Genomic DNA, 22608 nt, shown 5'->3' with positions numbered 1-22608 from the left:
AACTTCTAGCCATTCTTCTGGGTATGTAGTATTTCCTCATGGTTTAAGTTTGCATTTAGCTGATGAGGAAAGACGATAAGCACTTTTTCATGTGTATGACTCATTTTTTTAATCTTCCTTTGTGAGGTGTCTCTTAAATATCTCTTCCATTAAAAACAAAGAAACAGAAAACAAACATCCAAAAAATCCCCCAAAACAAAAAACAGAGGAACTGGCCTCGCCTGGTGGCTGACACCTGTAATTCCATCACTTTGGGAGGCCGAGGCAGATGGGTTATTTGAACCGATGAGTTCAAGGCCAGTCTGGGCAACATATTGGGACATCATCTCTACAGAAAATCCCAAAATTAGCCAGGAGTGGTGGCACACACCTGAAGTTTCTGTAGCTACTCGGGAGGCTAAGGTGGGAGTATGGGTTGAGCCTGGGAGTTTGAGGCTGGAGTAAGCAGAGACGTCACTGCTGCACTGCTGCCAGGACAACAGAGCAAGACCCTGTTCCAAACACACACACACACACACACACACACACACACACACACACACCCCAAACATGTGTCCGCACATGGTCTTTCGTCTGTGCACATGTACCCGTGATGGCCCTGTGTGTCCACATTTCCTCCTCTTATAAGGACACCTGTCAGATTGGATTGGGGTCCACCCTAGTGACCTCATTTTAGTGTGACCACCTCTTTAAAAGCCCTATGTCCAATACAGTCACATTCTGAGGGAAAGAGGGTTGGAGTGCTAAGATGGATTTTGAGGGAAACGTAATTCCACCACAGTAAGACCTTTCAGGCCTGAGATCTCCAGGTGAACAGAACGGCAGGGTCCAAACTGCAAAGGGAGGCTACGGGGGGTTTCAAAAGTGTCACCTTTAGGCTAGAGGTGGGAGGAAGTGATCTTCTGGGGCTGCTTGGCTGGTTGTTCCAATGCGTCCAGGAGGAGAAACCGGGTTGGCGCTGCCTTTGCCGCTTTGGAAGGCCATTCGGATTCATTTCCAGTGTTACACATTTCTGGAAGTGATGCATACCCAGGCCCTGGGCACAGTTTGGGGACCCACTCTGTGACCACAGGCCAGCCACTCCCATCTCTGAGCCTGTTTTCACATCAACAAGATGAGAGGGTGAATGAGATGATCTCTAAGGTTCCTGCTGGCTCTAAACTCTCAGCTTTCCTGTCACTGAGTTTCGCCCTGTTTCTAAGATTTCTGCTGAATATCCTGCCCTTCAGCAGAGTGAGTGAAAGCCAAGATAAAGAGCCAGTTTTCTGGGATGTCCTTCTTACAGGTGGAGAAGGTGGCCCATGTGACAGAGATGGGGCACTCACCCCCAAACGCCTCCCAGCATCCCCCCTGGCATAGCTCTTCTTCCTACCTCTTTGACCCCCTAGAGCCTTGGGCCTGGGGCACAGCAGGAGCTCACAGCTGTCTGTCATGAGAGTCATTCCACCGCTGGCTCAGCTGCTCTGGGCTGGGGCAAAGCTGGCCACTGTCTCAGAAGGACCCACATGGTGTCCCAGAAGACAGGGAGGGCCTTGGGAAGACTGGGCCCTGCTTACTCGTCTCAGGACAGAGTCTGGGTAAGTTGGCCAGAAAAGCCATTGTCATCATTTGAGCTGCCCCAAAGATAAGAGCTCAAGGAGCAAAAGTGCAGATTGGTATAAACTGTCACAGTGTCCTGGAGGGGGCCTCTGAGGTCAGTTGGACAAATGCCCACAGTGTCTTCTGGGGAAACCAGGAGTTGAAGGCTGTGCTGCCTGTGGGCCTCCCCCTCTGCTGTAGTCTCTGGAGGGAGGAGTGGGTGAGGAGGTTCCTAATCTGGGTCCTATCTGGAACCTCTTTCCTCCTGACTCTAGGTCCTGAGTTTAAGACACCGGTTTTCCCCTCTCAGCAGGGGCCAACTGGACTCCTGCATTCATTTCCGCTCAGGATTGGTCTGCACAAGGCCCTTCTTTAGCCTTTAAACTTATCCATGCCTTTAGGCTCATTTATCTGTTCCCTGCTATGCACACACTCAGTCATCCCCACCCCCATGTCTGCTGTGTGAGCAGGGCTGTGCTTGCCAGGGCACCTGGGTCTGTGAGGCTGCGGGCGCCTCTAGATCATCAATCTCGGCCTCGTCTCCTTTTTCCCCACTGGAATCTCTCGGCTCATCCACATGGCTGCCCATCCCCAATGACGATGCTCGTCCTGGCCCCACCCCCAATGACGATGCTCGTCCTGGCCCCACCCCCAGTGACGATGCTCGTCCTGGCCCCACCCCCAACGACGATGCTCGTCCTGGCCCCACCCCCAACGACGATGCTCGTCCTGGCCCCACCCCCAACGACGATGCTCGTCCTGGCCCCACCCCCAACGACGATGCTCGTCCTGGCCCCACCCCCAACGACGATGCTCGTCCTGGCCCCACCCCCAACGACGATGCTCGTCCTGGCCCCACCCCCAACGACGATGCTCGTCCTGGCCCCACCCCCAACGACGATGCTCGTCCTGGCCCCACCCCCAACGACGATGCTCGTCCTGGCCCCACCCCCAACGACGATGCTCGTCCTGGCCCCACCCCCAGTGACGATGCTCGTCCTGGCCCCACCCCCAGTGACGATGCTCGTCCTGGCCCCACCCCCAGTGACGATGCTCGTCCTGGCCCCACCCCCAGTGACGATGCTCGTCCTGGCCCCACCCCCAGTGACGATGCTCGTCCTGGCCCCACCCCCAATGACGATGCACGACCTGGCCCCAGCCCTGGGGGTTTCTTGGGGACATCCTAGGTGTGATCTCACTGGGTCTGGGCTGCCTCTCCTCACTGCCTCCTAGGAAGCCCCACCGCCTGCTCACTCTTCAGTCATCAGGCTCTGGCTGCGTCGCCCACACTTTCGGAACCAGCCTCTCCCCTCACCGCCCGGGGCCCTTCCTTCGCCTCCTGAAACAGCCTCCCCGGCCCTGCACCTAGTGTGGGTTTGGGCAAAGCCCCTGCATCCTTCTGAGCTCAGGGCCTGCCACAGGCCAAAGCCTTGGCCACCCCCGACGCTGCCCCCTGCTCCCTGCATTTCTGTGCTGGAGGGGCTGTGAGCGTGCGCTACCATGGCCAGGGTGCTATTATTTCACTCTGCCATGTGTGGAGTGTGGGGTGTCACCCTCGGGTGTCAGCTCAGGACCACACAGGCCCTGGGACAGGGATGATGGGAGCACGGTTGCCAGCTCCAGGGAGGCCCAGACCTGCCTGCCTGGGTCACCCTCATGTACGTCCCAGTCTGTTAGTGACCACAGTGGGTCTTCGGGAGACAGGCAGACCTCCCACACCCCTGAAAGTTGGGCCTGGGGGATGGCTGTGGGTTAGAGAGGAGGGCCTCGCCCACAGGGACCTCGGGCCATGGGCACTTCCCCGCTGCAGCCTCTGCCCTGCAGCACCCCCTGGCTCTGGGTGTGGCTTTTGAGGTCCCCACAATCACACCCATCCTCTGCCTGCAGGTGTTCCCCACCACCCTCCCATGAGCCCCTTCCCTGCACCTCCCCCAGGCCGTCCTCAGCGGGGCCTCTGCTGATCTTCTCCGCAGTCAGTAGGAGCTCCCACGGGGTCCTCCTGGGCCGACCTGTGCTGCCGCCACGCACCTCACTCTCTTTACTGTTGCCAGCCCCCTGCAGTCCATACTGTTATTATCCCCATGTGACAGATGAGGACACCGAGGCACAGAGAGGCTGGCAGCCTTGCCAAGGGCAGCAGGAGGGAGGCTGGAATAGTCTGGACCCCACTCCGCTCTCTTTTTCACCTACACTAGATCTGTCTGTATGGCCACATCCCTGGCTATTTCAGCCCAATACGATGGCACAGGTCACTTAAATAAAAAAGAAAACAAACCAATAAACAAACATAAGCGCCTGCACCTGCCCCATGCTGTCTGTGCTTTCTCCTCTGGTTGGGATCGTGGCTCTCTGCTGCCCTCCTGTGGCCGTTGGTTTTCCTGGGTGGGGAAGGGTGCTGGCCTCATTCACAACAGCAGATACTCATTCCTCCAGGGTCAGGCTATGGGGCTCAACGTGATCAGGACAGATCTGAGCCCCGTGGTTATGGAGATGCCAGCTTAGCTTTCATACGTGACACAAACACATACACAGTCTTTCCAAATGGAGGTGTAGAGCAATTTTTAAATTTAAAATTCATGTTTTATTTTTAATTGTTCTAGAGATGGGGTTTCGCTATGTTGCCCAGGCTGGTCTCAAACTCCTGGGCTCAAGTGATCCTCCTGCCTTGGCTTCCCAAAGTGCTGGGATTACAGACATGAGAAACCCTGTCCAGCTGAAATGGAACATTTCTAATCTGTAGAGATAGGATCTCTCTGAGTTGCCCTGGCTGGGGTGCAGTGACACTGCAGCGTCAGACTCCCGGGCTCAAGTGATCCTCCCACCTTGGCCTCCCCATTATCAGCTGGGATTATAGGAATGAGCCACCATGCCTGGCTTCAAGCAATTTTTTATATTCACACACACACACAAAACATTGACCTAACTGATTGCAATGAAGATTTGTCACATCTATGCCCCAAAATCACCCAATAAAATGAACAGACAACTTGATGGGAAAGGATTTGGTAAGGTAGTTGGCAAAAAAAAAACTGGCCTTGAGCATTTTAAACTGTTAATTATAAAAAATGTCAGGCATACACAAAAGTGAAGCAAGTAACAAAAACTCCCATGTCCCCTGGCAAGATTCTTGCTTCTTTTACTCTCCTGTGCTTTCACATGTTTTCTTTTTATTTTTTGTTTATTTATTTATTTACTTATTTATTTTCGAGACAGGCTTCTGCTCTGTGGCCCAGGCTGGAGTGCAGTGGCATGATCATGGGTCATTGCAGCCTCAGCCTCCTAAGCTCAAGCAATCCTTCCGCCTCAGCCTCCCAAGGAACTCAGCCTCCCAAGTAACCACGCCCGGCTGATTTTTGTACTTTTTGTAGAGATGGGGTTTCACCATGTTGCCCAGGTTGGTCTCCAACTGCTGAGCTCAAGCAATCCTCCCACCTTGGCCTTGGCCTCCCAAAGTGCTTGGATTACAGATGTGAGCCACCGCACCTGCCCCCCCCCCACATGTATTTCCTCTCTATATTATTTTCTTACAAATCTCTAACAATTACACATCTCTAAGTTTGCAGTTGCTCACACTGAGACTAGTTATGCAACTCTTGTTTCATAAGGAGCATTGATTAGTGAACTGAAGTGTGTGCCTGGACATAAGAGGACCCTGTGGAACCTTTTTGTGACATGGAACTTACCACATTTCTGGGTGCTAGTGGCGTTCAGTAGATAATTTTCAATGGAATTCCCTGGTCCTTGTGCGGGAAATGAATTAAGGACATCAAGCCTATGCCAATGAAATGCAATTAAAATGAAATAGGAATTTCCCCATCATGGGACTAGATAAGGTAAAGGCTGGTGAAACTTTTGCTTGGGTGATTATGATCCAAAATTCTGCATCACGGAAGGGGGCTGGATTAAGTTTGCTCTAAATTTTCTTCCAGTCTAGGGGTTCAGTGGCTATAGATAAAGAGTTGTGGTTGAAACACTCAAGGTACTTACGGGTTGAAGGGTGCAAAATCCCAGAGAAATCTGAGTGGGCATGAGGTTAATCAGGGATGCTTCCTGGAAGAGAAGAATTTGGGGCAAATAGAAATGTGTACAAGGCAAAAAGATATGATGAAAATGAGGAGAATACACAGAAAGATATTTGATATTATAGAGCTTAAATTAATTTGGTAGGTTGGGCATTACCTAAGTGATATCAGCAAGTGGTCACAGAATACACTAAGATCCATCTACACAGTGGAAAATCTTGCAGCCCCGTGACTAAGGAAAGTTACTTCTATTTTCACCAGTCCTTGGAGACACCTTTTCAGGCAATTAAACCCCCAAGGGAAGGAGCCTCCTCCGAAGTTGTTTGCTCATCTCAGCTGCGCTGACAAACCAGTCTTTCCCATGGGGAGGTGAAGAAGAAAACTGGACGATGAGGCAGGGACTTACCGATTTGAGCCCTAGCTTCCTCTCCTGTAAAATGGGCATAATATTTTCACCACAGAATGTTTCCTGTGAGAATTAAGCTGAGTGGACAATCTAAAGTCAACCACGGTAGGCCCTGGGTGCCACTTCCCTCCACCTCTCCAAAGCCTGAAGCCCAGCAAACACCTCCCTGGGGTTTAGTCTAATCCTCAGGACCAGTTCTGGCCTCTTTTCTCTCCGCCTTCAATGGAGATATTTTTTTTCCATGAAAAGAGAATTTTACTGCAAATAGGACAGGTACAGAGCTTGGAAGGATGGATACAAGTCCTGCAAATAGTTCACACTGAAATTCTGAAAATAGGTTTTCAAATAGCAGATGAAATTCTGTCACCATGCTCCAGTCTTCATTCCCCGAAGGGGAAGGAGTTCAGCCAGTTTTCTCCTTACAGAAGCTGAGCTGACACAGAGCAGCACACACTGCTAGGACGTGGTGAGGAGACAGCAGGCTTGGGGGATTTCCACTGAATACACAAGCAAGCATGTCTCTACCCTGTCCCTCATTATCTCAAAGACAACTTGTATGCTTTTAATACGTCTTTATGAAGTTTCCAGTGTGAGGAGTAGACATTCTCTAAAGAGAACTATAAAGGCTTATTTTCTGTCATCTGTAAGTTGTTCATTTAAGACCCTAGGGTTGGGCTACAACTGTTGTGAGACATCATATAAACATCATGCAGGTGGGATCTACGTCTACACATAGATCACAGAGCGAAGTCTCCCACAGAGTAAGCACAGAATAAAACATTAGCAAGGAGAGTTAGGAGGCTCAGCTCAACGTCTTCTTCTAGTAGAAGTAATTCCAATTTTAAATAATGAGTGACAGCAATCCCAATGTCTTATTTCTGCACAGTGCTGATTTACAATGTCCTATATTCATTTTCAATGTATAGTGTAAAATAATTAGTACACAAAAGATTGGGAGGAAAAGTTGTTTCTTCATCAGATAAAAAGTACTGATGTTGGCTGTGCGTGGTGGCTCACGCCTGTAATCTCAGCACTCTGGAAGGTGGATTGCTTGAGTCCAGGAGTTCGAGACCAGCCTGGGCAACATAGTAAAACATTGTCTCTACAACAATAGTGGATCCCTTACTAAAAAATTAGTCAGGTGTGGGGCACGCACCTGTAATCCCAGCTACTCAGGAGGCTGAGTTGGAGACTCACCTGAGCCCAGGAGATCAAGGCTGCTATAAGCCGAGATTGTGTCACTGCACTCTAGCCTGGGTGACAGAGTAAGAACTGAAAGAAAAAGAAAGAAAGAGAAAGAGGAAGAGAAAGAAAGAACGAAAGAAAGAACAAAAGAAAGAAAGAAAGAAAGAAAGAAAGAAAGAACTGATGTAGTGTTTAAAAAGACCTTCCAAGTCTGAGGGTGTCACAATCATCATAATTCACGAGGAAACCAAGACTGAAAATGAGAGAATTATTAACCCGACATCCCTGGAGCTAAGAGATGGCAGAGCCAGGCACTGGATGCCCTGGGTTCAGTGCTGGCTGCCGATCCTGCAGCGGTCCAGCCCCTTCCTCAGTGCCCCCATCACCTCCCTGTTCCTCAAGCTGTAAATGAGGGGGTTGAGCATGGGAGTAAGGACCGTGTAGAAGATAGAGGCCACCTTGTCATGGCTGGGGGCCCGGTAGTGCCTAGGCCTCAGGTAGATGAACATGGCTGCCCCATAGAAGAGGGTGACAGCTGTCAGGTGGGAGGAGCAGGTGGCCAGGGCCTTTTTCCAGGCCTGAGCAGAGTGCATTTGCAGCACAGTCCCTAGAATGTGAGCATAGGAGGCCACGATGATGGAGAATGGGAAGAGAAGCATGAAGACACAGCAAGCAAATATCACCTTCTCAAACAGGGATGTGTCTACACAGGCCAGCTTCAACAAGGATAGCATCTCACAGAAGAAATGGTTCACCTTCCTCAAGCCACAGTAGGGGAAATTCATTACTACCACCATCTGGATCAAGCCATCGATTATCCCAAAGGCCCAGGAGCTCCCAGTAATCTGGAGACAGACCCTCTGATTCATGAGGATGGGATAGTGAAGTGGGTGGCTAATGGCCACATAGCGGTCATAAGCCATGAGTCCCAGCAAGAGCCCCTCAGATCCCACAAGACAGACAAAGAGGCCAATTTGTATGCCACAGCCCACAAAGGAGATGGACTTCCTGCCAGACAGGAAGTTGGCTGCCATCTTTGGCACATTGGTACAGACCAACATGAGGTCCATGAGGGAGAGCTGGCTGAGGAAGAAGTACATGGGGGTGTGAAGGTGAGGGTCCATGTAGATGAGGAAGATGAGGAGGACATTCCCACAGAGGGCCACTGTGAAGACCGCCATAACCACGGAGAAGAGGACAAGGTCAGCAGTACTGTGGGAGAAGATGCCTAAGAGGAAGAAGCCATCTGTGTAGGACTGGTTCACCCACGTCTCCATGGCTCGGTTGTTGCTCCTGGTCACCTGAGAATATGGACAAGATGTGTTACATTGACTGACATCTCTTTATAGACCTCTGCTGCTATGTCTTCAGTCAGCTGTGTTGTGTGCAACTCATTAGATCTCAACAACTGAAGCTTTGGGACATAATAGGGGACACTCCATATCTCCCTAACACAGCGGTGGGGGCCCTCCTGGCTCCTAGAATTGGACTGTGTTTATGTGCTGTATGTATCCTTACCACAAAGAGAAGAACTGAGTTGTTTCATGTGTCAGAGACCTTCGGACAACCCCCTTCAGCAGGCAAAGTCTTGGCTGTACCATATGATACAGAGTCTTTTTTTTTTTTTTTTGAGATGGAGTCTTGCTCAGTCGCCCAGGCTGGAGTGCAGTGGCGAGATCTCTGCTCACTGCAACCTCCCCCTCCAGGGTTCACGCCATTCTCCTGCCTCAGCCTCCCGAGTAGCTGGGACTACAGGCGCCCGCCACCACGCCCAGCTAATTTTTTTGTATTTTTAGTAGAGACGGGGTTTCACCGTGTTAGGCAGGATGCTCTCGATCTCCTGACCTTGTGATCCACCCGCCTCGGCCTCCCAAAGTGCTGGGATTACAGGTGTGAGCCACCGCGCCCGGCCGATACCGAATCTTTTACCTGGGATCACATGGACTTGGGAAACAATGTTTAACGGGGCCGGGACCATTTCATTCCCAGGAGATAATTCATGTGTGCTGTAGAAAGGAAGGGAAGAAACAGGAGTTGCTCCTCAGTCTGGAGTCTCTCTCTATGTTCTGAGAGTTTTCTCATGCTTACCACTCTATTATGTTCAGACTACAGGGAAAGGATGTTCTCCTGTTGTGCCCCACGTGAGAAAGGAAGAGTTGCGATGGACGGTGTCATTGTCAGTCATACCGCGAGTGACAGGAAGTCACAGGGCCAATGAGGTGAAGCAATGACTTGGTGCCCAAGAGTCTTAAGAACAGTGAGGTTTCAGTTATGCTGGGGCTTAGAAAATAATCCCTTAGTCAGGGCTTCAGTAGAAGAGGCTGGCACATCAGTATAGGTAATACCTGCTTCCTAAGTTATCTTTAGTAGAAATCAAAGTGCCTTCTTTATGAGATCCTTGTAACTGATATACTTCACTGGGATTTCTGAGTCATTTCCTCACTGCTTCATCAAAGTTTCAATGGATTTATTTGGAGCCTGCTAATAAAGAGGGGTTTCCCTTGATATTTAGCCAAGAATTATTTTGTGTTTTTGTGTTTTTGAGACAGGGTCTCCCTCTGTCACCCAGGCTGGGGTGCAGTGGTGTGATCTCGGCTCATTGCAACCTCCGCCTCCTGGGATCAAGCCATCCTGTCACCTCAGCCTCCCATAGGTGCCTGCCACCATGCCAGGCTAACTTTTTTTTTCTGTTTTTATTAGAGATGGGGTGTTGCCATCTTGCCCGAGCTGGTCTCGAGCTCCTGAGCCCAAGCGATCCGCCTGACGTGGCCTCCCAAAGTGCTGGGATTACAGGTGTGAGCCACCATGTCCTGCCAAACAATTTGTCCTAAACACCTTAGTATCGAGAGGCACCAGAGACATGATATGATTTTACACGGACAAAGCCAAGTCAGGAAATCACATCATGTATATTAAAAAAGACAAAGCATCCTTGACGGTAGAATATCTGAAGCCAAGGCAAATAACAGAACAGATCATTATAAACAACAAGCGGAAAACATCACCGTATTCCGACTCTGAGTCTGTTATCACTGGCGTCACGCTCTCACCCGGCTGAGCCTTGTCTTCGCCCTCCAAGGAGTTCCCAGTTTTCCTTAGGCCTTTTCATGTTCTATTTCTCATTTGCCTCCTTCCGATTTGTTTGTCCCTTTAGCCATCCGGGCCTGCACCGTCAGGCACCATCACTGTAAGTAGCGCAGCACTGCAGTGCTTCCCCGCTTTTCCTCCCTTAACTTTGTATGAGTTTCCTACTGCTTTGTAACAAATAGCTCCAACACTGAGCAGCTTAAAACAGAATAACACATATTTGTTATCTCATGGTTCCTGTGGGCCAGGGATCCAGTGAAGCTCATCTGGGTGCCTCCGGCCTGAGGCCTCTCCTGAGGCTCTGGTTCAGCTGTTGGCACCTTGTTCCCTCCTCGCAGGTGCCTCACCACGTGGCCATTGCCTCCTGCCAGGGCAAGTGATCCTCCAGAGAGTGGAAGGAAATCGCCCTAGAGAGGAGTGGGGTATTTTGTGACCTCACATCAGAAGTCACATCCCTTCAGCTCTGCGTATTCTGTTTTTAGACGTGAGTCACTAATCATCACCGAGGTTGTCCCTGGAATTCAGCATGTCCGGAAATGCAATGCTGATTTTCCTCTAGGGTTGGGGAATTGTGTTTACACTAACCAACTCACAAGTCAGGAACTTACTAACCACAGGAGAGTGTGCGTCCACCTGTAACGAGAGCTGCATCTCACAGGACACCAATGCCACTCTTCAGCAAAAGCATCTCCAGTTGTTCAGAGTTCAGACAAGAAGGCTGTTTGGTGAGCCAAGAGTCAGAGAAAAAGGAACTGGAAGCTCCTAACTGAGAAATTTTACAAGATAAGGCGGCTTACCCCCTCAGGATATTTTCCCCAGGAACAGCCTGATCTAAAGTTAAGTTTCCAGAACGGACATTCAAAGACTCTTTGTCAATCTTGGTTCTGCGTTTACTAAACATGGGCTGTGCAGCCAGCTTCTCAGAGCCTCCGTTTCCTCCTTTGTAAGGGGGTCCATTTTAATAACCACTGTACCTTTATTGCAGGATCACTATGAGGCCAAAAGGAAAATGGATGTGAGTACTGTGGCTGGGACACTGAATGTGATTTTTCTGAGTGTGTGCTGCCTGTCACTAGAGCCCCGCCTCTTCTCAGCAGATCGGAGATAGACGGATAAACCCAAAGCCTTTGATTTTTTTTTTTTTTTTTTTGAGACAGGGCCTCGCTCTGTCTCCCAGACTGGAGCACAGTGGCATGATCAGCTCACCGCAGTCTTGAGCTCTTTGACTCAAGAGATCCTCCTCACTCAGCCTCCTGAGTGGCTGGTACTACAGGCGCACACCACCACACCTAGCTAATTTTTTATTTTTCATAGAGACAGGGTTTTGAACGCCTTGCATCAGCTGATCTTTCCGCGTCAGCCTCCCGGTAATGCCAAAGCCGTCATGGGATCCCAGACGCCCCTCCCAGCCCCAGCTTCAACTGCAAATTTCCTACAGAACATATACAGCTGCGTGTCTTGCTGACACCTCAGACAGAAAACAACCAAGCAGTATTTTTCAGCTGCGCGCCCTACAAAAGTCATGTCCCCTCCTCTCATCTTATTAATGCTGATGTCCTTAAGGGCTCAGCTCAAGTCCACTTTTGCCACGAAGGGCCCCCACCTGACCCCACCAGACGATCCCTTCCCATGCACGTGGCACCTCTTTGGCACAATGCATGTGCTGCTGAGGGCTGCAGCTGGGGTCAGTACAGCCTCCTGATTGGTCCCTGGCTTCACCCAGCAGACTGAGGGCGAAGGCATCGCCTGCAACTTAAGCCAGATGGTGTCAGTCTTGTGCTCAGGATATGCCACTGGCTCCCAACACACTCCCAGCAAGGGCCAACGCCCTTCCAGGATCCCCCCACTTCCCCTCCCGCAGCTGTCTGCCCTCACCCCTGACTCTGGATGTCTCATCTGCCAGGCCCTTTTATTATTATTTTCTTCCTGGAGCACGCCAGATGCATCTGACCTTAGGGCCTTTCCTGCTCCCTCTGCACGGAGCATCTTCCCCACTTGTCTACACCCTCCTTCAGGTCTCCCCCACGTGTCTTCTGCTCATTGAGAACTTTGCTGCAAAGCGCCCCAGGCTGCCCTCCTTCCCTGCTTGCTTTCACTCCACAGCTCTCATCACTGCCTGATACTCTGCATGCTTACTTATCTGTGGGGCTTTTTTCCTGTTGTCGAGACAGGGTGGTCCAGGGTGGGGTGCGGTGGTGCAGTCAAGGCTCTCACTGTAAGTCGCACCTCCTGGGCTCAAGTAATCCTCCCACCTCAGCTGCCCGAGTAGCTGGGACCACAAGTGCGCACCATCGTGCTCGGCTAATTTTTTAATTTTTTGTGGCGATGGGGGTCTCCTTATGTTTCCCAGGCTGGTCTTGAACTCCTGATCTCAAGCAATCCTCCCACCTCGGCCTCCCAAAGTGCTGGGATTCCAGGCGTGAGCCACTGCACCTGGCCCTGTGGGTTCTGAATCATCTGCTCTATTCCACTGGCTGAGTGTCCTGAGAACAGCAGCTCCTGGTCTGGTTTGCTCTCTGCTCTGTCTCTAAGATGGTCCCACTGTGATACTCAGTTGCGTGCTGAGTAAAACAATACCATGAAGTGAAATGCAGCTGCAGTTTCCATGTTCCGAAAGCAGAGGATTTCCCCTTTACTGAGGGGAGCTTTCTCCTGACCTGAGCGTAGCAGAGGCCAGTGCTAGCTTCCTTCCCATGCAGAACTGTGACTGCCAGCGCATGTCTTCAGTTTACAAAAGACAAGGGTGAGAGGCTCAAATACCAGACAGTTGCATGCAGGTGTATTCAGGTACTTTTCTCGCTGCAAAGACAAAATGAGGCCATTCCACAGGACATGTTCTTTGTGCAAAGAGCTGGAGTAATGTCCTCAACTCTTATGCGCCTGCCCAGGTGCAGAGCCTTGGATTTAGCCACTTGAGCTGTGTTCCACAGAGCGGAGCACGTCCTGACTTGTGCCCTAGAAGATGTGCCCAGGGGTCCTTGCCAGCAACAACACCTACGTATGATGTGGTGGGGGTTTTCTATAGAAGCAAACTGCTGTTCTCACAGTCTTCAAACACCATCTTGGTCATAGGGGCCCGAGGCCCAACCAACCAGCAAAACAAACCAGGTCCCCCAGAAATTCACAGCAGAAGTTCCCCTTCCTGTCTGCACATGCCCAGCCCTACTACCGTGTTCAGAGGCACAGGCCACCTGCACCTTCAAAGACATGCATTGTCTCTATTTCTGATTCTCTCTCTCTTTCTCTGTCCATCTCTCTCTTCCTTTCACTCCGTGTTTACATTTCCATGTTTCTTCAGAAATGCTTATAGCACATTTACGTAACAAGTGACTCTCTCTATTTCTTTGCAAAAACTGAAAATAGACAGAAAACTGGAAAGGGCATCTGAAGCCATGGGCCCAAGACCCAGCCCTGCTGCCAGTTACTGTGGGCCGTGTCCATCTCTCTGTGACCCTGCAGACATAGCTGTGTCCTCCGCGGAAGGAAGATAATTGTGGTATACCTGTGAGCCTCTGACGAGGGAGGTTCTGTGGGGCTTCCAGGACAGGTTCTGCAGAGGTAACTTGTGCAATGCTATGTGAGTCACTAAAGACATTTGTCTCCCTATCCGGGATGGCTTCTTTGAACTCAGATTCTTACACCCGCTGTGTACTCAGCATCCCCCCAGATGGCCAGTGGGGCTGTTCTGCCTGAAGTGGCCAAACAGAGCTGTTGGTCTGCCCTGGAGAAACACTTGTCCTGTCCTCCTTCCCAGCTTGGTTGAAGACAGGTCTGTCCAGCTGCCCAGGTCACAGCACTCAGGTTATTCTGGAGTCCTCTCCTCTCACACACACATCCCAACCATTGGAAACCCCTGCTGGCTCTTCTTCCAAAACATATCCACCCCACATATCCACCCCTGACCCTCACTCACCCCTGCCAGCCCCCGCCTGGCCACATGATCTTTGCAGCCTCCCTGGAGGATGGCATTGATCCCCAAGTGGACTTGCCTCCTAAGTCCTCTCTAGTCCCCCACCCCAGGCTACTGTCACATAGCACTGGGGTGGACCCACCCCTGCAAAAATAAAGCCAAACAACTTCCAGAGGAAATGCAAGACCTCATCCGCAGGCCATCCGTCATCACCCAGACCTCCTTTCCTTCTGCTCTCCCCAGAGCTCTGTGGACTCCTGGATCCCTGGCCTCCCTGCGGGATTCCCTCACACAGCAGGACAAGGCCAAGGCCAATCCAAGGGCCTCGGTCCTTGCCCTCACCTCCGTGCAGAAGGCTCTTCCCAGACAGGCCCTGCCTTGTTCCCTCACCTCCTCCTCGCCTTCTTGGCAAGGCCTCCCTTCAGCACCCATTTAGAGTTGAAATCCTTCCTCCTCCCTCCCCTTCCCATCTTGGCTCCCACAGCACACAAAGCCAGGAGGCGGGCTCCATGCTCTCCACGAAGACACTTTCTCCTGCTTTCCCAACTAGGACCCATGTTCCCCGGCACGTCTGGTGCTCGTGGGGGGATCCCTGGCTCCTGGACCAGTGCCTGGCATCTATTGTGCTCTCAGTAACCACGTGATTAATGAATAATGATTGTTTTATGAAATACAACTGAATTTATTCTTGCATCTCACTGGCTCATTTTCCTGCTCTCTAACTTCAGACCTTTCTGCTGGGTGTTTAGCTAATGGCTTTACTTTTTTTCCTAGAAACCACAACATGGAAGAAGAAACTGTCTCTGCAATATTCTCCTGGGGATGAGAGGACCCCGTCCCACATCAGCCCCCTCCTTCCTATCCCTTCACCTTCGCACTCCCCACACATCCATCCTTGTCTTCCTGCGGTGGACCACTCTCCACCCCAGGGACCTAGAGCCCAGTCTCCAACCCAGACAGAGGGAGGGGGACAGGAAAAGGGGAGTAAGACACCAAGGATCGAGAGAGGGAAGTGGGTCAAAGGAACAAGACGAGAAGAGTGAGGAGAGACATCACACCAGAAGGCGGATGCCCCCCCAAAAATCCAAACAATTACACCCTGATGGAGGCAGACAGTAGGAGGAAGAACAAGTGCTGATGAACAAGACAAATGGGGACGTGAACCAGCAACGGGAGCAGGAGCTGCAGGGAAGAGAGAGGGGACGACAGGACAAGACCCTCACTCACCTGTGGGTGGGTCCCTGCAGGGGAACAAACTCAGCAGAGTCACCTGTGGAGGAGTTCCTAGCATCAGAGCCATGCACTCATCCTCCTGTTTTTGCTCCCACTGGGTCAGGGGACAGGAGGAGCCGCAGCCCCAACCTCCTTCCTCAGCCCGCACCGACTACTCATCGGGCTGTGGAGCCCACGGCACCCTCAGCCTCCAGTGGCCCCTCAGGCTCAGAGAGCGAGGCTCACACAGACCACAGCCTCCTCTCAGAGGGAGAAACAGGCTCAGGGAAGGAGCTGGTGCTGGCAGGAGAGGTGGAGCCAGGAGCAGTGCCCTGAGCCCACCCAGGATTCCCACCTGCCTCCAGGACACCCTGGCTCTGGCCAGGTTCCAGAACCGCCTCCCACTGCCCACATAGGTACTGAACCCAGACACGGGGTGAGGAGGGGAAGCTGACTTCAGACCTCAGCTCCCAGGGGACCCCACAGACTCCAGCCCTGGAAGAGGTGCTCCCAAGATTACAATTAAAAAGACCCACAGAGGGACCTGGGGACAGGAACAGGAGCAGGGCCAGTGGGGACAGCGTGAGGAAACCCAGCTGGGGGAGGAAGGATGCAGGGCACAGGAATACATGCCTGAAACCTGAATATCTGAGACAGGTCTCAGTTAATTTAGAAAGTTTATTTTGCGAAGATTGAAGACATGCACCCATGACACAGCCTCAGGAGGTCCTGACAACATGTGCCCAAGGTGGTCAGAACACAGTCTGGTTTTATGCATTTTAGGGGGACATGAGCCCTCAATCAACATTTGTAAGATGAACATCTGTTTGGTCTGGAAAGGCTGGACGACTCTAAGTGAGGACGCAGCTTCCAGGTCACAGGTAGATAAGAGACAAATGGCTGCATGCTTTTGAGATTCTGATGAGCCTCTCCAAAGGAGGCAACCATATATGCATTTATCTCAGTGAGCAGAGGGGCGACTTTGAATAGAATGGGAGGCTGGTTTGCCCTAAGCAGTTCTCAGCTTGACTTTTCCCTTTAGCTTTGTGATTTTAGGGCCCCAGGAGAAAGCATTTTAGAAGAAAACGAGTCTCTGGTCTCAGGTTTTGTCTTATCTCTCATGGCTGGGATGGTTTATTCTTAGATAGGTAGGTCCTGAGTTATTAGGAAAGCTCATTTTGAGCAGGTTGTGAAGTCTCATGTTCTATGAAGAGAAAATAGGGGGAGGAAGGGGGGAAAACAACAAGAAATGAAAGAATAGCCCTGGAAAATTAATATAGGCCACATTACCCTGAAGTCCATACATCAGTAGGCAGGTATGAGAGTGGTTTATGTATGTAAATAAGTTGCTGTTATTTTCTTCTGAAGTTTACGTTGTCTGGCTTCAGTTTGCAGGGCTTTATGAAGGCACAGCTTAGTTTTCAGTGACTCCAAATTAGGAAAAATGAGACAAAAAAGAAAAAAAAATAGAAAACATTATTTTGAAAACTTGTAGCCAAGAAAAATTAAAATTCATTCCAAACTGTAGAGAATAATAAAAATTGAAAAACATTAGACATGACTGGAAGCTAACGAGTGTACTATAGTTTTTGAAACGTAATTTGTTTTCTCCCCAGTTTCCCATTTTTACTAAAGACAAATCGTGGCAGGATTGATTTGCTTTAATATACTTGGCCGGATTATTTGTATACAGCATAGCAATAATAATAATAATAATAATAATAATAATAATAATAATTTTATTATTACTTTTGAGACAGAGTCTCACTCTGTTGCCCAGGCTGGAGTGAAGTGGCATGCTTTTGGCTCACTGCAACCTCCGCCTCCCGGGTTCAAGCGATTCTCCTGCTTCAGCCTCCTGAGTAGCTGGGATTACAGGTGTGTGCCACATACCTGGCTAATTTTTGTATTTTTAGTAGAGACGAGATTTCACCATGTTGGCCAGGCTGGTCTCAAACTCCTGACCTGAAGTGATCATCCACCTTGGCCTCCCAAAGTGCTGGAATTATAGGCTTGACTCACTGTGCTTGGCCTGAATAATTATGTTTTACATAGGTTTATAAATTGACTTTGATGGAACTTTGTTCCATAGAAGGAATCTCAGATAAGACTTTTTAAAGCCAAGCCCAGTCATAGATTTGTATCATCAAATACCTATGAGTTGGGTGAATTCCTCTCCTCTTGAGGTCCCAAGATAAAACTTGGGGCTCCTGGGAATGTCAGAAAGTGACATTCTTTACTTACCACAGATCAGGAACCCTGTACAGGGACTGTGTAGACAAGGTATGAGGGCGGTTTTCCCAGAAGGCTTTTATTGGCTCTATAAGTCAAGTTTGATTCCTTAAAGGAAAACACACCATTCCAGTCAAACCTTTGGGAAAATAACCAGTTTCTTCAATTGCATCCTGTTACAAATGAAAACAGGATCTTACTACATGTATGCAAATAACTGTATTGACATAAGTTAATAATACTCACAAATAGTTTCCAAATTCTGGAGAATTCAGGTAGAGAGAAACAAACATGCTCCAAATTTTATTTATAGGAGTATACTAACTTGTTAAAAGCTGCCAACAGCTCAAAAGAAAAGTTTCCTTGATTCTGAAAAAAACCAAACAAAGGATCAGCAACGTTTTAAGCAAAAAGTCAGAAAGATTACTTCAGTCTCTTATTAGTTCAGTCCATGCAGTTAATTCTGGTTCTGCTTGATATTCATCTCAGCCCTCCATGAGTCCTGAAAGTTTTCCCTCTATTCTGATGTCACACTCCCAAAGTTATCAGACACCTGCATTTAAGAGCACCTGTTAGAGTTTTATAGCTGATTATAAAACCACCTTCTAGAGAGGATCAAAACAAGACAAGAGTTGTCTGTGGATGACAAAAAGTTTCAGAGCAGTCATAGTCAAAGACACAATCGACATGGAAATTTATTACCTCTGTGGCACGTTAACATAACAATTGTAACTATTACTGATAATGCACACCAAGTCATATCATAATTATAGGAGTTTCCCATAATTTTGGAACACATACTAATAACATATTTATACAAATACAGCCCAAAGAAAACCAAACACCATTTCATATTTGATAATGCTTCTTGTATAATTTTTATACCAAATAAGCCAAATAATGTCATCTTTGGACTTAGGGAACCTAATACATTAGAGGATTACTTAGGTCACAAATATACATAATTAATAATTTAATTTAGAAAAGTTTGTCAACTATCAAAGGTTTAAAACACTTGATATCACAGGTCATTTAAAATAGGATCCTTAAGCAACAACTTCCCAGGAGAGGCTCTTGAAACTCCACAAAGTAAACAGAACACCCCAAAAGGGGTGAGCGGTGCCTTTGCTCTGCATCCTTTAAAGGGGTTCAAGTCATGAGAAGCCTTCTTTAGATTTTTTGGTACTGCAGAAGGCAAAGGGGGTAGGAGGTATAGGGTGAAGAAAAGTAAATTAAAGAACATTTATTTTATTTCTGTTTATTTCTATTTTTTATTTTTTATTTTTTTTGAGATGGAGTCTCACTCTGTCACCCAGGCTGGAGTGCAGTAGCACGATCTCAGCTCACTGCAACCTCCGCCTCCCTGGTTCAAGTGATTCTCCTGCCTCAGCCTCCTGAGTAGCTGGGATTACAGGTGCGCATCACCACGCCTGGCCAATTTTTGTACTTTTAGTAGAGACGTAGTTTCATCATGTTGGTCAAGCTGGTCTCGAACTCCTGACCTTGTGATCCGCCCACCTCAGCCTCCCAAAGTGCTGGGATTACAGGCGTGAGCCACTGCACCCAGCCAAGAACATTTATTTTTTTAAGACGGAAAGCAAACACAGAAACCAAGCTCATTTGTGTTTTGTTTTGTTTTGTTTTGTTTTTGCTTTGCTTTTTCCTCTTTTGCAGCTGCAAGGAGTTTTAGCCTAATTAGAGAGGCTTTGTTACCAACCATAATTTGGAATTCTCACTCGGATTTGATGAAGTCAGGTAGAGTTGGTCAAATCTGATGGGAGAAAGACCAGAACAAACAACAACAACAACAAATCCCAACAATAAGATCACTCAGTGCTGTAATGGGAAGAAGAAATTCAGACCAGCTGGTCATTAAACATTAGCCAAGACAAAACTATTCAGCTACTTACCTAGGGATGGGTCTGAGGCTGTAGACTGCTTTCTACCATCCTAGAAGCAGGAAAAACAACTGGAACTCATCTTCCCTTCTGGGAGTGAGCTCAAACTCCATAAAGGAGTTACGTGCCTTCCATCTTCAGGGAAGCAGGAGATCTTGCCTTCCTTGTTGGAAGCAAGTGAAATTCCAAAAAAGGGGAGTTGTTCAGGAAAATAAACTTTAGATCTTGACCTTTAGATCAGGAAAAAAACTTTAGATTTTGGGAGATCAGGGATTCTCTGGAGGAGGTACTCTCAGACCTCAGCAAGTTGTCCTATTGGTTTGAGCCATAAAGTTGGCTCATGCTGGTCCCAAGCACCGATAGGAGATCTGTCAAAGGTCAGGGGCATCTCCACTCAGAATCCCCCTGTGGTTACCAAAACGTGAACCCCAAATATCTGAGACAATCTTGGTTAATTTAGAAAGTTTATTTTGCCAAGATTCAGGACGTGCACCCGTGATACAGCCTCAGGAGGTCCTGAGAAGTGGCCAAGGTGGTCAGGGCACAGTTTGATTTTATGCATTTTAGAAGACATGAGACGTCAATCAGCATATGTAAAAAATGAACATTGGCTTGGTCTGGAGAGGCAGGGCAACTCAAAGCAAAGGCAGGACAACTCGAAGTGGGGAGGGGGCTTCCAGCTCATGGGTAAATAAGAGAAAAATGGTTGCATTTTTTTGAGTTCCTGATGAGCCTCTCCAAAGGAGGCACTCAGAAGATGCATCAGAGGGCTGACTTTGAATAGAATGGGAGGCAGGTTTGCCCTAAGCAGTTCCTAGCTTGACTTTTCCGTTTAGCTTAGTGATCTTAGGGCCCCAGGATTTATTTTCCTTTCACACAGGAATGCAGAGGATATTCTTGGTGTTCTACAGGATCCCCACATTCAGCACTTCCCAGTGAGCCCCAGCGCCCTCATGGGGTCTCCATCTCATACCTCATGGGAGGGAAAGAACAGCACCACATCCAGAGGAGTCGGGTGGAGGCATGTGGGCCTCGGTCATCACAAACCCTGACAGGCATTTCTGCAGGGCCAGTGCCTTCGTGGGTTGCTGGGGAGAGGGCTGAGGTGCACGGTTCCGATGCTGCCACCCGTGCAGGCACAGGCTGCACTGCCTTTCACTCTCAAGAGTGACCGTAAAGGTCACTCTGTGCTTGGCTTTATGTCTCCTGGAAATAGATCTCTTTTCAAAATGGCAAATTCATTGGAAACTCAATGGCGGAATCACCAACTCATCAGTTCCTTTTAACTGTTTGGTTTTATTTTACTGGTTTCCTTTTATTTTCACAACAGCAATAAAGCGTGTTTCACCTGCCATTCAAAGCTACTGGGGGCTTCAGCTGGAGACAAAACCACAGAGAACCTCAGTCAGATCAGAGGGCTGAGGGGAGACGGATTGTGGGGAGAGGGGCCAGTGTAGGGAGTGGACGCTGAGGACCTAGGAAAACAGGCCTTGGTCATGCTGGTTCCAGGGACAGCAAAGCGGGCTTTACAGAATCTCCCTACAATGCCAGCCTCCCTCTGTCCGAGCCTCCCTCTGGGCCATCCCTCCACAGCCAGCTGCTCTGCCCTTGGTCTGTGCAGGGGCCTGGTGTTTCCCCTCCACACTTTCGATCAAGCTGTTCTCCCCCGGGAACTTACTTTGCCTCTCTGTCTCCTCCTACTGAAACTTAACCAATCTACAGAGAAACATCTAAAGCTCCCCTTTACTCTTCCGACCTTCCAAAGACTCCATCCACAGCCCCTCCTCTGCTGTGAGCTCCTCCATGACAACACAGATGAGCCTGGAGGACTCTACACTCAGTGAAATAAGCCAGGCCCAGAAGGATAAATTCCGCACATCTCACTCGTATCTAGAATCTAAAACACACTCATGAAGGCAGAGCATACAAAGGCGGATCACAGGCTGGGGCTCGGGGGCCTGGGGAGATTTTGGTGAAAGAGTATACACAGTTTCAGTTAGGAGGGATACATTTTTGAGATCTATCTCACAGCACGGTGACTATAGTTAATAATATGTATTGTATGCTTTGAAATTGCTAAGAAAGTAGATTCCTGATGTTCTCATCATTAGATGTGGATGTTGACCTTAGTGTACACAGACCCCAGTTCAGTTTGGTACGAATAATTTTAAAATATCCTCCCAAAAGAAAGTCCAAGACCAAATGGCTTCAGTGATACATTCTACCATAAATTTAGGGAGGAAACAATAACAGTCTTCCAGGGATGTTTTAAAAAGGGAGTGGAGACTCTTCCCACGACTCTTCCCGCTCATTCTGTGAGGACAGCATAACTTTCTAGCCAACACATGGCAAGGATGTTACAAGAAGGGAAAGTTACAGGCCATTTTCTCTCATGAATATAGATACAAAAATCTTAAGCAGCAAAATATTAGCTAATCGACGACAGTGATATATAAAAAGAATATTACACAACAAAAGTTGTATTAATTCCATGAATGTTATGGTGGTTTAACATGAAAAAACCAATCCGTGTAAATGTTGTAAGCACAGCCAGGATTTGTGTGAATCAGGTGTGGTTAGACGCACAGACACATAAGTGCCTGTCGTGGGGGAAGACGTTTGCACACTCACAGATTCCCCAGAAACAGGAGTAAGGCACCCCAGGCATGGCCACATGGGGATGTAGCAGGGTCCTTTAGGAGGCAGAGGGAGCTGGGAAACATGGGCTGAGCCTGTGTTGTGGTTTCTGTGGGGAGGAATGGGCAAGGCAGGGCAAGAAGGGTTAGGACCTGCCAGTCTGAGTAATTTCTGTGGGCTCTGGGACATAGGGGCAGTTCCTCGCTGTTGGTACCTGCCCTGGGGTGAGTAGGGCAGGTGCACAGGGTCCAGAATATGAGAGCCCAGTAAGGAGGCAGCTGGGGCCTGGGCTCTGGGTTGGTTGGTCTGCAGAGGAAAGGTGAGCTCGAGAGCATCTGTGACTGTGTCTGAGAATGAGCCAGCCTGGGAGGGGCGGTCCTTCCAGGATCAGTAAGGCCCCAGTGTGTCCAGGCACCAAATGCAGAAAACAAAAAAGCATGA

General features: G+C 49.1%; 1 protein-coding gene across 1 annotated transcript, besides 11 other annotated features; it reads right to left on the bottom strand.

The window, feature by feature from the left end:
* Positions 1442–1784: a silencer, noted in NCBI's record as "fragment chr5:180588627-180588969 (GRCh37/hg19 assembly coordinates)". NCBI's record gives its function as "represses an EF-1alpha promoter that drives an FKBP-Casp9 reporter gene in an ReSE screen in phorbol 12-myristate 13-acetate-treated (for megakaryocytic differentiation) K562 erythroleukemia cells {active_cell/tissue: K562(+PMA)}" and the evidence as "EXISTENCE:reporter gene assay evidence [ECO:0000049][PMID:32094911]".
* Positions 1442–1814: a biological region, named in NCBI's record as "ReSE screen-validated silencer GRCh37_chr5:180588627-180588969".
* Positions 1645–1814: an enhancer, noted in NCBI's record as "active region_23779". NCBI's record gives its function as "activates an Ori minimal core promoter by ATAC-STARR-seq in GM12878 lymphoblastoid cells {active_cell/tissue: GM12878}" and the evidence as "EXISTENCE:reporter gene assay evidence [ECO:0000049][PMID:35858748]".
* Positions 1985–2274: an enhancer, noted in NCBI's record as "active region_23778". NCBI's record gives its function as "activates an Ori minimal core promoter by ATAC-STARR-seq in GM12878 lymphoblastoid cells {active_cell/tissue: GM12878}" and the evidence as "EXISTENCE:reporter gene assay evidence [ECO:0000049][PMID:35858748]".
* Positions 2449–3204: an enhancer, noted in NCBI's record as "H3K27ac-H3K4me1 hESC enhancer chr5:180587207-180587962 (GRCh37/hg19 assembly coordinates)". NCBI's record gives its function as "activates a minimal SCP1, AML or CMV promoter by ChIP-STARR-seq in naive H9 embryonic stem cells {active_cell/tissue: H9 hESC(naive)}" and the evidence as "EXISTENCE:reporter gene assay evidence [ECO:0000049][PMID:30033119]".
* Positions 2849–3028: an enhancer, noted in NCBI's record as "active region_23777". NCBI's record gives its function as "activates an Ori minimal core promoter by ATAC-STARR-seq in GM12878 lymphoblastoid cells {active_cell/tissue: GM12878}" and the evidence as "EXISTENCE:reporter gene assay evidence [ECO:0000049][PMID:35858748]".
* Positions 3205–3961: an enhancer, noted in NCBI's record as "H3K27ac-H3K4me1 hESC enhancer chr5:180586450-180587206 (GRCh37/hg19 assembly coordinates)". NCBI's record gives its function as "activates a minimal SCP1, AML or CMV promoter by ChIP-STARR-seq in naive and primed H9 embryonic stem cells {active_cell/tissue: H9 hESC(naive and primed)}" and the evidence as "EXISTENCE:reporter gene assay evidence [ECO:0000049][PMID:30033119]".
* OR2V2 (olfactory receptor family 2 subfamily V member 2) lies at positions 4126–15825 on the bottom strand. The gene is made up of 2 exons (NM_206880.2): positions 15416–15825; positions 4126–8492 (listed from the first exon to the last, which is right to left on the bottom strand). The coding sequence occupies exon 2, from the start codon at positions 8466–8468 to the stop codon at positions 7521–7523; it is 948 nt and encodes a 315-aa protein (NP_996763.1). The 5' UTR covers positions 8469–8492; positions 15416–15825; the 3' UTR covers positions 4126–7520.
* Positions 6474–6593: an enhancer, noted in NCBI's record as "active region_23776". NCBI's record gives its function as "activates an Ori minimal core promoter by ATAC-STARR-seq in GM12878 lymphoblastoid cells {active_cell/tissue: GM12878}" and the evidence as "EXISTENCE:reporter gene assay evidence [ECO:0000049][PMID:35858748]".
* Positions 9255–9304: an enhancer, noted in NCBI's record as "active region_23775". NCBI's record gives its function as "activates an Ori minimal core promoter by ATAC-STARR-seq in GM12878 lymphoblastoid cells {active_cell/tissue: GM12878}" and the evidence as "EXISTENCE:reporter gene assay evidence [ECO:0000049][PMID:35858748]".
* Positions 11957–12458: an enhancer, noted in NCBI's record as "H3K4me1 hESC enhancer chr5:180577953-180578454 (GRCh37/hg19 assembly coordinates)". NCBI's record gives its function as "activates a minimal SCP1, AML or CMV promoter by ChIP-STARR-seq in naive H9 embryonic stem cells {active_cell/tissue: H9 hESC(naive)}" and the evidence as "EXISTENCE:reporter gene assay evidence [ECO:0000049][PMID:30033119]".
* Positions 15200–15922: an enhancer, noted in NCBI's record as "H3K4me1 hESC enhancer chr5:180574489-180575211 (GRCh37/hg19 assembly coordinates)". NCBI's record gives its function as "activates a minimal SCP1, AML or CMV promoter by ChIP-STARR-seq in naive H9 embryonic stem cells {active_cell/tissue: H9 hESC(naive)}" and the evidence as "EXISTENCE:reporter gene assay evidence [ECO:0000049][PMID:30033119]".

The sequence above is a fragment of the Homo sapiens genome, chromosome 5 (assembly GCF_000001405.40).
Source record: "Homo sapiens chromosome 5, GRCh38.p14 Primary Assembly".
NCBI classification, from domain to species: Eukaryota; Metazoa; Chordata; class Mammalia; order Primates; family Hominidae; genus Homo; species Homo sapiens.
Note: the sequence above shows the minus strand (reverse complement) of the source record. Positions and strands in the feature narration are given on the sequence as shown.

Excerpts from the sequence above, each read along its gene's own strand:
- OR2V2 (NM_206880.2), bottom strand. The coding sequence starts at position 8,468 with ATGGAGACGTGGGTGAACCAGTCCTACACAGATGGCTTCTTCCTCTTA.